Here is a 19,630-nt window from a genome sequence, read left to right on the forward strand (position 1 = left end):
GAGTGTGGAATAATAGACACTGGAGAGTAGGAAGGGTGGGAGGGTGCTGAAGAATACGAAATTACTTAGTGGATACGATCGATGTACATTATTCAGGTGATGCTTATGCTAAAAGCCTAGACTTCACCACTACGTAACATATCCATGTAATAAAATTGCTCCTGTGGCCCTTAAATTTATACAAAAAAAAAAAAAAAAAATTAACAAAGTCATAGCCAAACCCAACTTCACACAGGTTTTTTCCTGCTGTCTTCTTTTATAGCTCTGTGTTTTACATTTAGGTCTATGATCCATTTGATGGTTTCTGTGAAAGGTGTTAGATGTGTCTTGATTCACTTTTTGCATATGGATGTCCAGTAGTTCCAGCAGTATTTGTTGAAAAGACTGTCCTTTCTCCATTGAATTGCCTTTGCTCCTTGATCAAAAATCAATTGATCTTTGACTAAGATCAATTTGTATTTGTGTGAGTCACACAAGTGTGTTTGCGTGGGTCTATTTCTGGTCTCTTTATTTTGTTCCATCAATCTAGTTGTCTGTTCTTTTGCCAATACCACATTGTCTTGGTTACTGTAGCTTTACAATAAATATTGAAGTCTGGTAGTGTCGGTCCCCCAACTCTGTACTCAATCAATACTGTGTTGCCTATTCTGAGTCCTTTACCTTTACAATTAAACTTTAGAATCAATTTGTCTATACCCACAAAATAACTTGCTGGGATTTTGACTGGGACTGAGTTGAGTCTACAAATCCAGTTGAGAAGAATTGACATCTTGACAATATTGAATCTTCCTACCCATGTGCATGGAATACATTAAATTTCTTAAGATTTTCTTTCTTTCACCAGTTCTGTAGTTTTCCTTATATAAGTCTTATACATATTTTCTTAGATTTATCCTTAAGCATTTCTTATTTTTTGGTGCCAAGGTAAATGGGATTAGGTTAATTTCAAATTCCAATTGTTTATTACTGGTATGTAGGAAAGCAATTTATTTTTGTGTATTAGCCTTGTATCCTGCAACCTTGCTGTAATCACTTATTAGTTCCAGAAGTTTTTCCGTTTTCAATTCTCTGATTTTCTGCATAATCATGTCATTTTTGAGGAACAGTTTTACTTCTTCCTTCCCAATTTCTATACTCTTTATTTCCTTGTCTTATAGCGAGCATCTCAGTACAATATTGATAGGAGTGGTGAGAGGACATCCTGACCTTTTTCCTGATCTTAGTGGGAAGAATCTAATTTCTTACCATTAAGTATGATGTTAGTTGTAGAATTTTGTAAATTAAAAAAAAAAATCAAGTTGAGAAAGTTCCCTCCTGTTCCTAGCTTGCTGAGAGTTTTTGTCATGAATGGGTATTGAATTTTGTCAAGTGCTTTTTTGTGGCTAGGCATCATGGCTCACACCCATAACATCAGCACTTTGGGAAGCTGAAGTGGGAGGATCACTTGAGTCCAGGAGTTCAAGACAAACCTGGGTGACATGGCCAAGCCCCATCTCTATAAAAAATACTAAAATTGCCCAGGCGTGGTGATGTGCAACTATAGTCTCAGTTGCTCTGGAGGCTGAGGTGGGAGGATTGCCTTGAGCCCTGGAGGTGGAGATTGCAGTGAGCCAAAATCATGTCACTGCACTCCAGCCTGGGCAACAGAGTGAGACTTTGTCTCAAATTTTCTTTAAAAAAAGCTTTTTTTGGCCAGGCGCGGTGGCTCACGCCTGTAATCCCAGGGCTTTGGGAGGCTGAGGCGGGCGGATCACGAGGTCAGGAGATCGAGACCATCCTGGCTAACACAGTGAAACCCCCTCTCTACTAAAAATACAAAAAAATTAGCCGGGTGTGGTGGCAGGCGCCTGTAGTCCCAGCTACTAGGGAGGCTGAGGCAGGAGAATGGCGTGAACCCGGGAGGTGGAGCTTGCAGTGAGTCAAGACCGTGCCACTGCACTCCAGCCTGGGCGACAGAGCAAGACTCCATCTCAAAAAATAAAAATAAAAAAAAATAAAACATAAAAATAAAAAAAAGCTTTTTCATCATCTATTCATACGATAATGAGATTTTTCTTTTTTCGTCTATTGATGTGATGGATTACTTTGATTTTTGGATGCTAAGCCTTAAATATCTAGAATAAATACCACTTGGTCATGGTATATAATTATTTTTATCTTACTTTATTTTTGAGACAGAGCCTTGCTCTGTCCCCAGGGTGGAGTGCAGTGGCGTGAACACTGCTCATTGCAGCCTTGACCTCCTGGGCTCAAGCTATCCTTCTGCCTCAGCCTCCCATGTGGTCCTATCCAGCTGGGACCACAGGCGTGGACCACCATGCCTAGTTAATTTTTCGATTTTTTTGGTAGAGACAAGGTCTCACCTTGTTGCCCAGGCTGGTCTCCATCTCCTGGGCTCAACTGATTCTCCTACCTTGGCTTCCCAAAGTGCTGGGATTATAGCTGTGAGCCACTGTACCTGGCCAATATAATTCTTTTTATTTATTGCTGGATTCTATTTGGTAACACTTTATTGAAAACTTTTGCATCTATGGTCATGAGATATTCGTAAGTATTTTTCCTTTCTTGTAATGTTTTTGTCTGACTTTGGTATTAGGGTGATGCTGCCATCACAGTATGAGTTAGGAGGTCAGAGTAGATTTTTTATTATAAAATATTTCAAAGAAGAGAAAGTAAATATACGTGTATTCCATGGTGAGGTTTAATAAATTTTAACATTTTCCAAATTTGGTTGACTTGAAATACATATCCACTCACACATCCATGTCCATCTGAAGCTTGTATCTCCCTGAACCCACCCCAAAATAATTACTATATCTAAAGCATGTTACCTTCATTTGTATTTACACTATGACCTTATATTTACCATTTATAGAGAGTACAGCATATTGTTTTGCAGACTTTTAAATTTGACGTAAAGAATATCACATAAGTTTTGCTTTGGCTTTTGTTTGTACACAATTTTAGATTTATTCATGTTGTATCAAATGGCTCTAATTTAATCAACTATCTTGTTATACTGTGCAAATATGCAACTTATTTATCCTTTCTCCTATGGTCATTTAGATTGTTGGCAATCTTTCAACTGTAAAAATTTTTTTCTTTTTTGAGACAGGATCTCCCTGTGTTGCCCAGGCTGGAGTGCAGTGGTGAGATCTTGGCTCACTGCAACCTTCACTTCCTGGGCTCAAGCAATTCTCCTGCCTCAGCCTCCCAAGTAGCTGGGATACAGGCACATGCCACCATGTCTAATTTTTGTATTTTTAGTAGAGACGGGGTTTCACCATGTTGGGCAGGCTGGTCTCGAACTCCTGACCTCATGATCTGCCCGCCTCGGCCTCCCAAAGTGCTGGGATTACAGGCGTGAGCCACCGCGCCCAGCCTCAATTATGGTTTTTAATGAATTTGAACAAATACAAGTATCTGAGAAGAGTTAACCCTAATTAAATAAAGCCGATTTTCTTTTTTTTTTTTTTATTTTGAGACAGAGTCTCGCTCTGTCGCCCAGGCTGGAGTGCAGTGGCGCCATCTTAACTCACTGCAACCTCTGCCTCCCGGGTTCATGCCATTCTCCTGCCTCAGCCTCCCGACTAGCTGGGACTACAGGCGCCCGCCACCATGCCTGGCTATTTTTTTTTTTTTATTTTTAGTAGAGACGGGGTTTCACTGTGTTAGCCAGGATGGGTTAAAGCCAATTTTCAAATGTATTGTCCTACACTACCTTTTGGAGACATTTACTTCTATATACCTACTTATATCTAAGTATATGTTCTGCTTTTAAGAGTACTATAGGCCAGGAACGGTGGCTTAGGCCTGTAATCTCAGCACTTTGGGAGGCCGAGGTGGGCAGATCACGAGGTCAGGAGTTCGAGACCAGCCTTGCCAATATGGTGAAACCCCATCTCTACCAAATATAAAAAATTAGCAGGGTGTGGTGGTGCGTGCCTGTTGTCCCAGTTACTTGGGAGGCTGAGGCAGAAGAATTGCTTGAACCCGGGAGGTGGAGGTTGCAGTGAGGCGAGATCACGCCACTGCACTGCAGCCTGGGCGACAGGGCAAGACTCTGTCTCAAAAAACAAACAAACAAACAAAAAACAGTATTGTATGTGAGCTGGGTGTAGTGTCACACACCTGTAATCCCAGCTACTTGGGAGGCTGAGGCAGGAGTTGGAGACCAGCCTGGGCAACATAGCAGGATCGGTCTCAAAAAAAAGAAAAGTATTGTATGGTATTTTATCAAACTAAGACATGTATTTAACATCTCTGAAATTAAGATGTATCTTATAATCAATGACATGTCACAGCTTAACTGGCAGTATTTTTACTAAGTGGCATATAAAATAATAGTGAATCTCAAAGCATCTTAAATTAGATGATAAATTATGGAAATTATGAGCAAAATAAAAGAGGTAATTCAGGCTGGGTGCACTGCCTCACCCATGTAAGCCCAGCACTTTGGGAGGCTGAGGTGGGTGGATCACCTGAGGTCAGCTGTTCAAAACCAGCCTGGCCAACATGGCGAAACTCCATCTCTACTAAAAATATAAAAATTAGCCAGGCATGGTGGCTTGCACCTGTAATCCCATCTACTCAGGAGGCTAAGGCAGGAGAACTGCTTGAACCCAGGAGGCGGAGGTTGCAGTGAGCCGAGATCACACCACTGCACTCCAGCCTGGGCAACACAGTAAGACTCTGTCACACACACACAAAAAAAGAGGTCATTAGGAAGTTCAGGGCTTATATCAGGTGTACTGATGACTACTATGTATTTTTTTTTTTCAGACTAGTCAAGTGCAGCAGTGAGAAGCGGGGGGAAGACGAGAACAAAGAGTTCGATCTGTAACTGACTGAACAATCAATTAAGATAACTCACTACCTTCCAACCAGGCGATTATGTGTCTTATTTACAGTAAAAACTACAACATATTTCTGTTAACTTAAACCTAAGTATATGGTAGGAATGAATGATACAGAGAAATGGTTGAGTGACAATAGCAGGAGACTTTGGCCTATGTAAAACAATTAATATGGAATTTATAGAACCTAATAATAAATGTACTGGCAAGGGTTAATGAAAATGTTTCTCTTAAGAATCTGAAAATGTTTCAGAAAATATAAATTCATGAACTTACTTCTAAAATGTTTTTAACTTGAAGATGTAATGTTAGTATGTCAGAAGTAAACATGAAACTTTTAACTTCCTCCTCCTTGATATCATGCAAACTATGCTACTGAGACAGGAATTGAGATATCTTCATCAGGCTCTTTATAATTATCAAGAATGGTGGAGGGCCGGGCGCGGTGGCTCACGCCTGTAATCCCAGCACTTTGGGAGGCTGAGGCTGGGCAGATCATGAGGTCAGGAGATTGAGACCATCCTGGCTAACAGGGTGAAACCCTGCCTCTACTAAAAATACAAAAAATTAGCTGGGTGTGGTGGCACATGCCTGTAGTCCCAACTACTCGGGAGGCTGAGGCAGGAGAATTGCTTGAACTTGGGAGGCAGAGGTTGTAGTGAGCTGAGATCGTGCCACTGCACTCCAGCATGGGTGACAGAACAAGACTTCGTCTCAAAAAAAAAAAAAAAAAAAAAAGAATGGTGGAAATACAGAGTTTGCTTCACAGGAGATTCACCAAAACTAATCATGCTTTTTTACTAATCTTGAATATTTTAATTCTTAGGTAGATGAGGCAAAGAGCCTCACCATTTGCTTTTTGCCTAAAAATAAGGTATCTTTTCCTTCATGTTAAACTCATGCTCTTTGCTTTCCTTTCACACAATGTACCCACAAAGGAAATGATTTTTTGAATAGTCCAGAAACAAAAAGGCAAGGTCACTGAACACTTTCATCATTATTTCCCAACTTGATAATACATCTGAATTCTGAACATCTCCACACGGGCCAATATAACTTATTTTTTTTTTTTTTTGAGATGGAGTATCACTCTGTCACCCAGGCTGGAGTGCAGTGGCACTATCTCGGCTCACTGCAACCTCTGCCTCCTGGGTTCAAGTGATTCTTCTGCCTCAGCCTCCCCAGTAGCTGGTATTACAGGCGCGCGCCACCATGCCCAGCTTATTTTTGTGTTTTTAGTGGAGACGAGGCTTTACCATATTGGCCAGGCTGGTCTCAAACTCCGAACCTCAAGTGATCTGCCCACCTGGGCTCCCAAAGTGCTGGGATTACAGGTGTGAGCCATAGTGCCTGGCCTATAACTCATTTTTAACACCACACTTTACCCACAATGAAAATAGATTAACTTCCATCATATTCTCTTAATTATGGCAGTCAGAAGTTGGCTAAGGGGCCAAGCGTGGTGGCTCACACCTGTAATTCCAGCACTTTGGGAGGCCGAGGCTGGAGGACCCCTTAAGCCTAAGAGTTAGAGACCAGCCTGGGTAATACAGGGAGGCCCCTATAAGGAGACCCTCTAACTCTTTGAAAAAAAAAAAAAGTCTGTTAATGTTCAAAGGGAAGGGACGTAACTCCACATCTTGATAAGGGTAGTGGCAAGGTTCGAGAAGGGTATGAGACTTTAAATATTGTTGGGGTCATTTCTGCAAAACACAACTTGCCATAGGTTTCTTTTGTAAAATGGGAGACCAGTGATTACCAAAAGGCAGCAGGGAAAAAGAACTGGCATGATCCCTTGATATGGATATGTTTTTATGTAGGTCAATTTTAATAAAGGATTTACATGGGCACTGCGATCTGAATTTGCATTCCCTTAAAGCTATTTATGCCTGCATATCCCTTAGAAAGTTTAATATTCCCAGGAGTATGTAGACCCTTGTTTGAAGACTCTACTATAGACTACACTTCCATCCTTTAAGCATATGAATTTTTAAGATGTATACTTAATTGTAAGTTTTTCTAAAAAGTTATTCAGCATTTTTATAGAGGTAAAATGTGTATCCTAGAACATTAAAAAACAATCCCTTTCATTTTAAAGAATAATCAATTCCTTTTACTCAGATAAATAAAAATAGAGTAACGGTAACAAACCAAATGGCCAATGCCACAAGAATTTTGATAACTGAATACACTACTTACAGTGTATGCATCTTTCCTGAGGACAAAAATTTTTCTTAAAAAACTCAGGCCAGGTCTCTAGAAGTAGATGTTGGTAAGCGTTAGCAAGAAATTTTACCTTTGTTTTATGTTACACTTACAGTGAAATAAAATGTACGTAGACCATTAGAAGAGTTACAGTTTGAATGTCTTCCAAATATGATATAAATACACTGGCACAAAATCCTAACTTCTGTTTTCGTCTTTACTAATAACCCAATGATCTAAGAGATGCTTCAGTAAATTATCTCCAAATGTCATTTCCTAAAGACAACATTTCTTACCTATAAAGTTCAATAAAGTATTTAAAAAAGTATTCCCTTTGCTTTAATTTCCATTATACATCATGACCTCAACATATCTGGAAAGACATAATGTTGGGAATAAGGACTTTTTCTTTAAAATACTGGGGAAAAATTACTAAGTTATCCCTTTTATATACAGGGTGTAGGTAGAACAATATAGTAGTTACAATCAGAATTTCTACATCCATTTATCACTTAAGTACCTACTATCTTGCAGACACTATTCTAAAAACTAAGGAAATGGGGGTAAATGAGAAAGTAACAGCTACCACTTATTGAGTGCTTACTATGTGCCAGGCTCTGGCTTAAGAGTTTCATACATAAATTCATTTAATCCTCCAACACAACACCTCTATGACACAGGTACTATTAATTTTCTCATCTTACACATGAGAAAATTGAGGCATAGAGAAGTGAACTCATCCAGCTAGTAACTTGTAGAAACAGCATTTCCAAAATCCTGGCTTTCATGGAGCTTTTATTAATCTAAAAGCCTTCCATTCTTATTTTCTAGTCTCTGTGAAATACCTAATGAACAAATTTCTGTGGGTATGGTTCAAATAGGAGGTGTGACCATTTTGTTTTTACACGTTTCTTTCTGGGAATGTTGAAACAAAAGTTTTACTAGCTCTATCTTCGTATTTTGTAACTTCAAAATGCCTAGAGTCTGTGTTACATGTTAAAACACCTGATTTTGGCCGGGCATGGTGGCTCACGCCTGTAAACTCAGCACTGTGGGAGGCTGAGATGGGTGGATCATTTGAGATCATGAGTTCGAGACCAGCCTGGTCAACATGGTGAAACTAAAAATACTAAAAATACTAAAAATACATGTTCTGGGCTGGGCACGGTGGCTCATGCCTGAAATCCCAGCACTTTGGGAAGCCAAGGTAGGGGATCACTTGAGACCAGGAGTTCAATCGAGACCAGCCTGGCCAACACGGTGAAACCCCATCTCTATTCAAAATACAAAAATGAGCCAGGCGCGTGCCTGTATTCCCAGCTACTCAGGAGGTCGAGGCGGGAGACTCGTATGAACCTGGGAGGCGGACGTTGCAGTGAGCCAAGATTGCGCCACTGCACTCCAGCGTGGGCAACAGAGTGAGACCCTATTTCAAAAACAAAACAAAACAAACAAAAAAAACAAAACATGGTCTCTACTAAAAATACAAAAATTAGCCAGGCATGGTGACATGTGCCTGTAGTCCCAGCTACTCAGGAGCCGAAGGTTGCAGTGAGCCAAGATTGCACCACTGCACTCCAGCTTGGGCAACAGACTCCATCTCAAAAAACAAACAAAAAACCACTTGATTTTTAAAAAATAGTTGGGGTAACAATTCTTCCATATTTTTCTCTCCAGAACTATAGGTATATATCCATAGCATCCCTTAATTTGGAAAACCACTTCTCTACTCCAGGTAGGCCCAGTGGTGTTCAAGGTCACAGAATCCTGTCTCATTATGGTGATGTGTCCATGATTCAAGTTAATTAGGTCTCACTGTGGCCTTGGCCACAGTTAATTGGTTCAATAATACAGAAACATGATCTAAGTATGGCAAATTTGTCTTCTCTTGGATTGATGGAGATGAGAGATGTTCTTTTTGCAATGGAAGTGATTTGAGGCTGCTGGTAGCTATCTTCTTTGGCCTCAAGAGAAACTAACTCCATAATGCTAAGAGGTATAGAGAAATTCAGATAGAACACTTTGATTTAGCAATGCATGGTCTATTCTTGCCTTTTCCAGTTAAATGAGTATAAAGTTATGCTTAAATGGGTTTCTGGGGCTTCAAGTTTTAATGCATTTTAACAGAAGCATTAGATAAAATGAGTATGAACAGAACTCTGTTATTCTCATCCTCATTATTTACGAACAAATACAGAGCTGTCTACAGCTCAAAGGATGGTTTACCTATTTCATTTTCAAAAATAATTTGCAAAACATTTACCTATGAACTCTAAGTGACTACAAAGCATTACTGTAGTAAGTCTACTTCTTTATCATACCACAAAACCACAATAGCTAGAAGACAAAATGTTTTATTTTAAAACATTGAAAAAACATTAAAAGACAAATGTCCATTATGTAACCAGGAATGTTAAATATATGGAAACGGTAAATCTCTAAAATGTGGTAGGTACTTCCAGAGCTAAATGTTGCAAGTTATCCTACTTTTTTCTCTAATATCAACAATACCTGATACGATGAAAAATAACAAAAAGACCTTACTAATTATCCAATCAAAGTCATCATCTTTGGGTAAATTTATATCAACACAACTTAAAGTTTTGTCCAAGATGTTCCTGACACATGAAGCTTCCAGTTGAATTTCAGAAATGTTAACAAAAGTATCTTCCTTTTTTGCCTGTGAATGTTTGAGTATTGCTGTATTGTTGGCTTATATCCACTACAGATACTGGTTCTAGGCCAGCCCAAGGATCTTCAAGCATTGAAGGCTTGAAATAATTTTCCAACTCATTAGACATTCTTTTTTCTCTAACACGCCCTGATCCAAATGGTGTAGATGTCCTTGGAGAACCCTTTAGAAAAAAAATCAGTTAAAAAAACACTTAGTAAAGATAATTGGTACTTCTTCCTTTAGCTAAAGGTTAGCGGGAATCACATTGCTGCTTAAAAGTTGTGACTTGAACCTAAATAATGTTCAATTACAAAGTCCATGCTTCCTTTAATCAAGTGTTCCTATTTTTTAAAAAAAGTACTTAAAGCAATTCGTTATTCTCATTTATTTATAATTCCATGACCACTGTCATCTCAAATACTTTTGTGTCTAATGTAGTAACTTTGCAGTAATTAAATACAAGCAGTGATGAAATCAAGTAATTATATTCAATTTTCCCTCGAAATTTTCACTTTTTTCAGGAGAAAACAATACTATAGTTTTAAAGTTTCTAGAACCTTTCTAGCTCATGAACATTTTCTTTACTCCTTAGCTCCAGGCTCAAAAGGGGTAGGGGGTTGGTGTAGAATACAGCAAGTTGGAAAACCACGTAGTTGCAAGTTGTAAACCACAGAAATCCCAGACATGCTAGAGATACTCTCTCTGTCTTTTGTATTTACTCTCACTAAAGGAATGGAAAACTTCCACTACCACCGATTTTCTTTTCAGGGAAGTTGGAGCAGAAGCCAGTGTAGCTCGAAAGAAAGATAAAAAAAAAAAAAAAAAAAAGAAAAAGAACTATTTCTTGAAACAAACTGGCAAGGCCTTTGGCAAACAGGAGGAAATGGAGAATTAGGAAAATCTGTGTACGGGTGGCAGTGTATTGGTTAAAAGCACGAGGGCTCGAAAACAGAACGTACGGCTCTGCCACTCTTTCGGATAATCTTCCGGAAGTCACTCAACTTCTCTAAGCCTCAGTTCGCTCATCTGCAAAATTGGGCTAACAATAGTACCTCAGAGAGGATTAGACAAAATAATCCACGTAAAGGGAATATTAGTACCGTGCCTGCCATAAAGTAAGAGCTCGGCAAACGCTGGCTATTATTATTACCTGGGGGTGGGTCTGCTGCTGCCCTGGGGAGTAGCCGAATTGCTGCTGGGACCCCGCGGGGGACCTGGAGTAGGAGCCAGGGTAGCCGCCAGGGGACGGAGACCCGAACCGGCCCCCCGGGAAGCTGCCGCCGTGTCGCGGAGAGTGACTGCTCCCGTACGGCCTAGACCGGGGCCCGTACGGCGGCGTGTGGTGCGGACTCCCGTACCCGTCTCGAGGGGAGGGCGGCCGTGGTCCGCCCCCGCCCGGGGTTCCCCGGAAGCTGCTTCCGCTACCCCAACCTCCTCCACCCGGACCAGGGTAAGGAGGAGTTGGGGGCCGAAAATTCTGTCGCTGCATATCAGGAGCCAAAGCCGAAAACCTCGCAGCCGCGTTCTCCCACCGGAACTGTATCAACCGGCCCTCCGCAGAGAACTGCTAGTCCTTTACCAAAACAGTCCTCCGACCGCAGCCACCCTACGGCACATCAGTTCCGGCGTCACAAAGGTTCCGCCAGGGGCGGCGGGATTACCTAAATCACTGACTTGGCGAGAGACTCAGTGGATTTAAGTGAAAAGAGGAAGAAAAGGAGACAGGAAAGGACGGACACCCAAGCCCAGCAACAACCTTTCCAGTCTGAGTGCCCTTGGTCTGACCGACAGACTAGAAGCTGGCCCAGCAGGCGACTAGTGCTCAGCCCCGCCCGGCGGGGGCGGGGTCTGCGGCGTCCGTGGGCGCCCCCCAGTGGCGGCGGGTGGCGCCGCACGGAGTTCGCCGCTTGCACCGGGACCGATGCCATCTGAGACGCACGCGATGCTGGCGACGCTGGCGAGGGTGGCAGCTCTGCGCAGAACCTGCCTCTTCTCCGGCCGGGGCGGCGGGAGGGGGCTGTGGACTGGCCGCCCGCAGTCAGGTACCCTCCGAGATTCGGTCTGGGTGGCTAAAGGGATCCCTGCCCCAGCTTGCCTCCTCGGGCGCCCTGAGGAGAGCAATTAGGGTCTGAAGTCTCTGCTGACCCCTTAGCGGTGGCTTTGCTCGCCTCCCTGCAACCCCGTTCCGTGGGCCTGCGGCCGGCCTGCCCCGCTCTGGCCGCCCAGGGTCGCCTCTGTCCCGTGCGTTGTTGTGACCGAGGGCTCCGTGCGCCGTGGGGTCCCGCTCCTGCGCGTCCCGCGGCTCGCGTTTGGGGCCTCTTTACTCCTGTCCTTTCGTCCGCCAAGTTTAAGTAACTTCGAAAATGCACACCAAGCCACATTTCAGAAAGGACTTTAGCCCGCTGCTTTGAATAACTTGACACTTCATGTACAATAAAAGATGCCCTTGTACAGTTACCTGTTGCAGAATTTTATTTAGAGGATGAAATTTAGCTTTACTACAGTGTTATAGAACTTTCTTTACTCCCTCTGAATTTGGGAATGGTAATCCACTATGAATCTTTTTTTTCCTTTTTTCTTTTTTTCTCTTTTTTTTGAGACGGAGTCTCGCTGTCTCGCCCAGGCTGGACTGCAGTGGCGCGATCTCGGCTCACTGCAACCTCCTCCTCCCGTGTTCAGGAGATTTTCCTGCTTCAGCCTTCCGAGTAGCTGGGATTATAGGCATGCGCCACCACGCCCAACTAATTTTTGTATTTTTAGTAGAGACGGGGTTTCGCCATATTGGCCAGGCTGGTCTCGAATTCCTGACCTCAAGTTATCCTCCCGCCTCGGCCTCCCAAAGTGTTGAGATTACAGACGTAATCTCTATGATTATGCGCGCGGCCCACTATGAATCTTGAAATTAGTTGCAGGATGCAGGATTTTTTTTTTTTTTTTTGAGACAGTCTCGCTCTGTCGCCCAGGCTGGAGTGCAGTGGCGCGATCTTGGTTCACCACAACCTCTGCCTCGCGGGTTCAAGCGATTCTCTTGCCTCAGCTTTCTAGAGTAGCCGAGATTACAGGCATGTGCCACATGCCCGGCTAATTTTTTTGTATTTTTAGTAAAGACGGGTTTCACCATGTTGGCCAGGCTGGTCTCAAATTCCTGGGCTCAAGTGATCCGCCTGCCTCTGCCTCCCGAAGTGCTGGGATTTCATGCGTGAGCCACCGCGCCTGGCGTAGGATACAGAATCTTAAAAGAGCTTTAGGACTCATTAAATCATAGCCTAACGGGTAGCCTGGACCTGTGATTTCCATTCACCCTCTTGTAGCTGCTACTCCTCGCTGTCTCTTTGACATGTTCTGTGACATCCCAAGCTGACGAGTGTGGTATCTTCTCAGCTTCTATCCTCCTTGATGAATGGAGACACACACAGACAGTTTTTTTGTTTGTTTATTCTGTGGAAATTCAATTCACTACATTTCGTTTCTTCTGTAGATACAAGTGATAGACTTAATCAAGGTAGCACGTTGCCATTAAGGCTTAGTGATACAATTAAGGTCGGAGGACTCCAGCCTATCCACTTTATTAAATACAGTAGTTCTGTCCTGGCCAAAAATTCACCTTTCTGGACATTGTCTTTAGTGTTTAACTTAATGCTTGGGAATTGCTCATTTGAATATTTATTGAATAAAATGACCTAGGTGGGACGATTGCTTGAGCCCAGGAGTTGAAGACCAGCCTGGGCAACATCGTGAAGCCCCATTTCTACCAAAAATACAAAAAAAATTAGCCGGGCTTGGTGGCGTGCGCCTGTAGTCCCAGTTGCTTGGGAGGCTGAGGTGGGATGGCTTGAGTCCTAGGAGGTTGAAGCTGCAGTGATCCGCTATTGTGCCACTGCACTCCAGCCTGGGTAACAGAGCGAGACCCTATCATGCCCCCCCACCCCACTGGAAAAAAAAAAGGTTCACATACATCACATAGGTAATTTTCACCTTTTAGATCATCAGCCAGTCTACTCAGGGGAGGGGGCAGAAAAGTGAGAGTGGTGGGGACCAAAATTAACTTTATTATTATTATTATGGACATGGGGTGGTCTCACTCTGTCACCGAGGCTGGAGTGCGGTGGTGAGATCACAGATCACTGCATCCTCGACCTCCTGGGCTCAAGTGATCTTCCCACGTCAGTCTCCCAAGTAGCTGGGAGTACAGGCTCATGCTACCATGCCTGGCTAATTTTTTTATTTCTTTATTTTTTGTAGAGACAGGGTCTTGCTGTGTTTCCCAGAACTCCCCACCTCAAGCATTCCTCTCTCCTGCCTTGGCCTCCCAAAACTCTGCAATTAAATGGTGTGGTGAGCCACCATGCCCAACCAACAAATTAATTTAATAGTAAACAGTTTAACTGATGGACGCCTAATGAGTATATAGATCTTTATTCCATCAACCCATTTATCTGTATAACTTCAATCTAACTAAAGTTCACTAAAATTTATTAAAATTCAAAAGCCATGCTCTTTTTAAGCTTCTAGTAGTACATTTTGTAGCAAGATAAAAGTGACCAATAAAAAAGTTTGAGTTGTGTTTTTCTGTCGTATAGCAGTATACTCTCTCTATATATTTTTTATTTATTTAAGTATTGAGACATGTCTTGCTCTTTCATCCAGGCTGGAGTGCAGTGGCGCAATCCCAGTTCACTGCAACCTCTGCCTCTCTGGGCTCAAGCAATCCTTCCACCTCAGCCTCCCAAGTAGCTGAAACCAGAAGTGTGTGCCACCATGCCTGGCTAATTTTTGTATTTTTTGAAGACATGGGGTTTTGCCATGTTGCCCACACTGGTCTTGAACTCCTCAGCTCACAGAATCCAGCCACCTGGGCCTCTCAAAGTGCTGGGATTACAGGCATGAGCCCCCTGTGCCCCAGCCAGTTATGATTTTGTTTTGGCATATATTCATGGGGGTACAAGTGCAGTTTTGCTACATTGATATATTGTATTGGGGTGAAGTCAGGGCCTTCAGTGCATCCATCACTGGCACAAGACACATTGTACCCAGCAAGCAACCTCCTGTAGTCCATCCCCTTCCCTCTACATCCCCAACCCTCCAAGTCTCCATTGCCCATCACTCCACACTCTGCTTCCATATGTACGCATTATTTACCACCAACTTATAAGGGAGAACAGGCAATATTTGTTTTTCTGTGCCTGAGTGATTTCACTTAAGATAATGGCCCCCAGTTCTATCCATGTTGCTGCAAAAGACATAATTTCATTCTTTTTTATGGCTGAATAGTATTCCATTTTGTATATATGCCATATTTTGTTTATTTAGTGCTCCATTGATGGGCACTTAGGTTGATTTCATATCTTTGCTTTTATGAATAGTGCCGTGATAAACATATGAGTGCAGGTGTCTTTTTGATGTAATGATTTCTTTTCCTTTGGGTAGATGCACAGTAGTGGGATTGCTGCATCTTCCGGTAGTTCTATTTTTAGTTCTGTGAGAAATCTCCATACTGTTTTCCATAGAAGGTGCACTGATTTACATTCCCACCAACAGTGTATAAGAAGAGTTCCCTTTTCTCAGCTTCCTCACCAACATCCTGTGATTTTTTTTGTCTTTTTAATAGCCATTCTGTTGTGTGTAAGATGATATCTCATTGTGGTTTTTAATTTGTATTTCTCTGATGATTGGTGATGTTGAACATTTTTTAAAAATTTTACTCATGGCAGTACACAGAAATTTTCAGGGAAGATTAAAAGGCATGAAAACATGACTCTTAATAGACAATTCTAGCAATATACAAACTATTTTTGTTTCCCTAGAGTCTTGAATTTTTTGTTCAACTCATTTTCTGGTTATGAATTTAAAATGATTACAGCATACTGCCAATGTTTGAGAAGAAATCTGTTATTGGATTAAGTTTAGGAATCAGGCTGGGCGTGGTGGCTTATGCCTGTAATCCTACCACTTTGGGAGGCTGAAGTGGGTGGATCACCTGAGGTCAGGAGTGAGCCGAGATTGCCCATTGTACTCCAGCCTGGGCGACAACAGCAAAACTCTGGCTCAAAAATAAATAAATAAATAAATAAATAAATAAATAAATAAATAAATAAATAAATCCAGGATTCATAATATTAATTAATTTATTTAATTTTGTGACAAAGTCTTGTTCTGTCACCCAGGCTGGAGTTCGATGGCAAGATCTCAGCTCACTGCAACCTCCACCTCCTGGGTTCAAGGATTGTTCTGCATCAGCCTCCACAGTAGCTGGGACTACAGGTGTGTGCCACCACGCCTGGCTAATTTTTGTATTTTTAGCAGAGACGGGGGTTTCACCATGTTGGCCAGGCTTGTCTCAAACTCCGGACCTCAGCTGATCCACTCACCTCAGCCTTCCAAAGTGCTGGGATTACAGGCGTGAGCCACTGTGCCCGGCTGATGGTGAACATTTTTGATATGCTTGTTTGTCTTTTGAAAAATGCCTACTCATGTCCTTAGCCCATTTGTTAATGGGATTATTTGTTTTTTGTTGTTGAGTTGTTTGAGTTGCTTACAAATTCTGGATATTAGTCCCCTGTTGGATATGTAGTTTGCAGATATTTTCTTCCATTCCTCAGGTTATCCGTTCACTCTGTTGATCATTTCTTTTGCTATGCAGAAGCTTTTTAGTTTAATGAAGTTCCATTTGCCTATTTTTGTTTTTGTTGCCCGTGCTTTTGAGGTCTCAGTCATGAATTCTTTGCCTAGATCAATGTCTAGAAGAGTTTCCCCTAGGTTTTCTTCAGTATTTTTAGAGTTTCATCCTTACATTCAAGTCTTTAATCCATCTTGAATTTATTTTTTTCTTTCTTTTTTTTTTAAGATGGAGTTTCGCTTTTGTTGTCCAGGCTGGAGTGCAATGGCGCGATCTCGGCTCACTGCAGCCTCCGCCTCCTGGGTTCAAGCGATTCTCCTACCTTATCCTCCCAAGTAGCTGGGATTACAGGCATGCGCCACCATGCCCCGCGAATTTTTTGTGTGTTTAGTAGAGACAGGGTTTCTCCATGTTGGTCAGGCTGGCCTCAAACTCTCGACCTCAGTTGATCCGCCCGCCTAGGCCTCCCAAAGTGCTGGGATTATAGGTGTGAGCCACCGTGTCTGGCCAAATTGATTTTTTTATATGGTGAGATACAGGGATCCAGTTTCATTCTTCTGCATATGGCAATCCAATTTTCCCAGCACCTTTTACTGAAAAGGGTATCCTTTCCCCAGTAAATGTTGTCGACTTTGTCAAAAATCAGTTGGCTTTAAGCATGTGGGTTTATTTCTGGGTTATGTATGCTGTTCCATGGATCTATGTGTCTATTTATTTATTTATTGAGGTAGAGTCTTGCTCTGTTGCCCAGGCTGGAGTGCAGTTGTGCAATCTCAGTTCATTGCAACCTCCGCCCCCCGGGTTCAAGCGATTGTCCTGCCTCAGACTCCTGAGTAGCTAGGATTACAGGCGCACGCCACCACACCTGGCTAATTTTTGTATTTTTAGTAGAGACGGAGTTTCACCATGTTGGTAAAGCTGGTCTTGAACTCCTGACCTCATGATCCGCCTGTCTTGGCCTCCCAAAGTGCTGGGATTACAGGCATGAGGCACCGCACCTGGCCCTATGTGTCTGTTTTTATAGACACTATGAGTATTATGCTGTTTTGGCTACTATAGCCTTGTAGTATATTTTGAAGTCAGAAAATGTGATAACACCAGCTTTGTTCTTTTTACTTGGGATATTTTTGGCTATTCGGGCTCATTTTTAGTTCCATATGAACTTTAGAATTGTTTTTTCTAATTCTGTGAAAAAATGATGTTGATAGAAATTGCATTGAACCTGCAGATTGCTTTGGGCACAATGGTCATTTTAACCACATTAATTCTTTCAGCCTACGTGCATGGGGTGTTTTTCCATTTTTTTGTTTCATCTATAGTTTCTTTCATCAGTGTTTTGTAGTTTTCCTTGTAGATTTCTTTCACCTTCTTGGTTAAATATATTCCTAGGTGTTTTATTTTTTTGTAGCTATCATAAATGGGACTGCCTTCTTGGTTTCGTCCTCGGGTAGAACATTATTGGTGAACAGAAATCCTAGTGATTTCTTTTCCTTTTTTTTTTTTGAGACAGTCTTGCTCTACTACCCATGCTGGAGTACAATGGTGCAATGTAGGCTCACTGCAAAGGCCTCCCAAAGTGCTGGGATTACAGGCATGAGCCACTGTGCCCATCTGATTTATAAATTTTTGACAGATTATGCATGAGAGTGTGCTTCTTGGGCCAGGCGCGGTGGCTCATGGTTGTACTCCCAGCACTTTGGGAGGCTGAGGCAGATGGATCACAAGGTTAGGAGTTCGAGACCAGCCTGGCCAACATAGTGAAACCCCGTCTCTAGTAAAAATACAAAAAAATAGTCAGGCGTGGTGGTGGGCACCTGTAATCCCAGCTACTTGGGAGGCTGAGGCAGGAGAATTGCTTGAACCCAGGAGTGGGAGGCTGCAGTGAGCTGAGATTGTGCCATTGCACTCTAGCCTGGGCGACAGACAGTGCAAGACTCCATCTCAAAAAAAAAAAAAAAAAGTGTGCTTCTTATCACATTTACAGGTAATATATGAAGATTGAGGGAGAGGGAATTCTTTTTTTTTTTTTTTGAGACAGGGTCTGACTCCAGTAGCCCATGTTATAAATAAAGGTTTGGTGCCACAAAAGAAATAGCACTGGAATATAAAATTTTCTTTTTAATTCTCAGCAAGGCAATGTACTTCTATAGAAGAATGCGCCCTTACAGATGGAACAATGGTGAGCACACACCTGGACAAGGGAGGGGAAGGGGTTCTTATCCCTGATGCACGTGGCCCCGCTGCTGTGTCATTCCCCTATTGGCTAGGTTTAGACCACACAGGCTAAACTAATTCCAATTGGCTAATTTAAAGAGAGTGACGGGGTGAGTGGTTTGGCAGGAAAAATGGTTATGGCAGAGCAGGAAATCTGAATGAGTCAGGGTGGAGAATGAGCAGGTAATCGGAATGACTTAGGGTGGAATAGGTAACTGGAATTAGTCATGGTGGAGCAGGTAATCAGAATGAGTCAAGGTGAAGCAGGTAATCGGAATGAGTCAGGGTGGAGCAGGTAATTGGAATGAGTCAGGGTAGAGCAGATAATTGAAAAAGGTTGCTTTACCAGGAAGTTAAGTTTAAAACTAGAAAGCAAAGAATTGAACCTACTGACAAACTGATTCTTTGAAGAGAAATTTAGAACTCATATCTAACATTCTGTCCTCTTGCATTTCCTTACGGCTCTTTTTCTTCAAACTTCTTTAACATGTCTTGGCTTAGTTGTTCTACAGATTTTCCAAAAGAAGAAGCTTCTTTACATAAGGCAGAGAATAGTTAAGGGAGGTTTTAGTAAGTGCTGTTTTTATGAGCCTCTGCACCAACCCATGGATGCATGGTGTGACACAGCACCTGACAAGAGTAAGTACACCCATTATGGCTGCGAGGGAAGTAAGAACTGAGGCTATTATTCTTTTCCACTTACTGAACCACTTTTCTAGCCATCCTGTAAAGGAGTCATTTACCCCTGAGTTGTTGGCTAACTCATTGGACACAGCACTCAGACCTTGCAATGCCTTTGTTATACTTCCATCAGGGACAGTGTTGTTTGGGATGAAGGTACAACATTTGTGTTTTAATCATGATACAAACTCCTCCTCTTTCTGCTAATATCATGTCTAAGGCTATCCTATTTTCCCAAGCCATGTGGCTTGTAGCCCCTAATTACTCAGCTATTCCTTTAACAGCATCTCTAGTATAGTTAATAAATTGCTGTTGGTTGTAATAGATGTAGTTTATCCAATCTACATTTTTATTAATTGTCACCCACCAAAATATTGACTCAAA

The 19,630-nt window shown here is 42.2% G+C and overlaps 2 protein-coding genes across 19 annotated transcripts in view, besides 3 other annotated features; one reads left to right on the forward strand and one right to left on the reverse strand.

The window, feature by feature from the left end:
* On the reverse strand, positions 2,684 to 11,279 carry MPLKIP (M-phase specific PLK1 interacting protein). Its single transcript, NM_138701.4, has 2 exons — positions 10,886 to 11,279; positions 2,684 to 9,916 (listed from the first exon to the last, which is right to left on the reverse strand). The coding sequence occupies exons 1-2, from the start codon at positions 11,222 to 11,224 to the stop codon at positions 9,716 to 9,718; spliced, it is 540 nt and encodes a 179-aa protein (NP_619646.1). The 5' UTR covers positions 11,225 to 11,279; the 3' UTR covers positions 2,684 to 9,715.
* Positions 11,005 to 11,074: a silencer, noted in NCBI's record as "silent region_18117". NCBI's record gives its function as "represses an Ori minimal core promoter by ATAC-STARR-seq in GM12878 lymphoblastoid cells {active_cell/tissue: GM12878}" and the evidence as "EXISTENCE:reporter gene assay evidence [ECO:0000049][PMID:35858748]".
* Positions 11,285 to 11,354: an enhancer, noted in NCBI's record as "active region_25890". NCBI's record gives its function as "activates an Ori minimal core promoter by ATAC-STARR-seq in GM12878 lymphoblastoid cells {active_cell/tissue: GM12878}" and the evidence as "EXISTENCE:reporter gene assay evidence [ECO:0000049][PMID:35858748]".
* Positions 11,535 to 11,734: a silencer, noted in NCBI's record as "silent region_18118". NCBI's record gives its function as "represses an Ori minimal core promoter by ATAC-STARR-seq in GM12878 lymphoblastoid cells {active_cell/tissue: GM12878}" and the evidence as "EXISTENCE:reporter gene assay evidence [ECO:0000049][PMID:35858748]".
* SUGCT (succinyl-CoA:glutarate-CoA transferase) overlaps positions 11,662 to 19,630 on the forward strand; it is a 903,812-nt gene continuing 895,843 nt past the window's right edge. For 16 of the 18 annotated variants that reach the window (XR_007060157.1, XR_007060158.1, XR_007060156.1 and 13 more), the window contains exon 1: positions 11,662 to 11,777. Coding sequence is in view for 15 of the 18 variants with exons in the window: in XM_047420840.1 (XP_047276796.1) it covers positions 11,678 to 11,777 (100 nt within the window). In the remaining 3 variants the exon portion in view is untranslated. Of the gene's footprint in view, positions 11,778 to 18,386; positions 18,531 to 19,630 lie in introns of those variants that run through there. The other 2 variants (XM_047420842.1, XM_011515526.2) reach the window with 2 other exon arrangements.

Source organism: Homo sapiens, chromosome 7 (genome assembly GCF_000001405.40).
Source record: "Homo sapiens chromosome 7, GRCh38.p14 Primary Assembly".
Taxonomy (NCBI): Eukaryota; Metazoa; Chordata; class Mammalia; order Primates; family Hominidae; genus Homo; species Homo sapiens.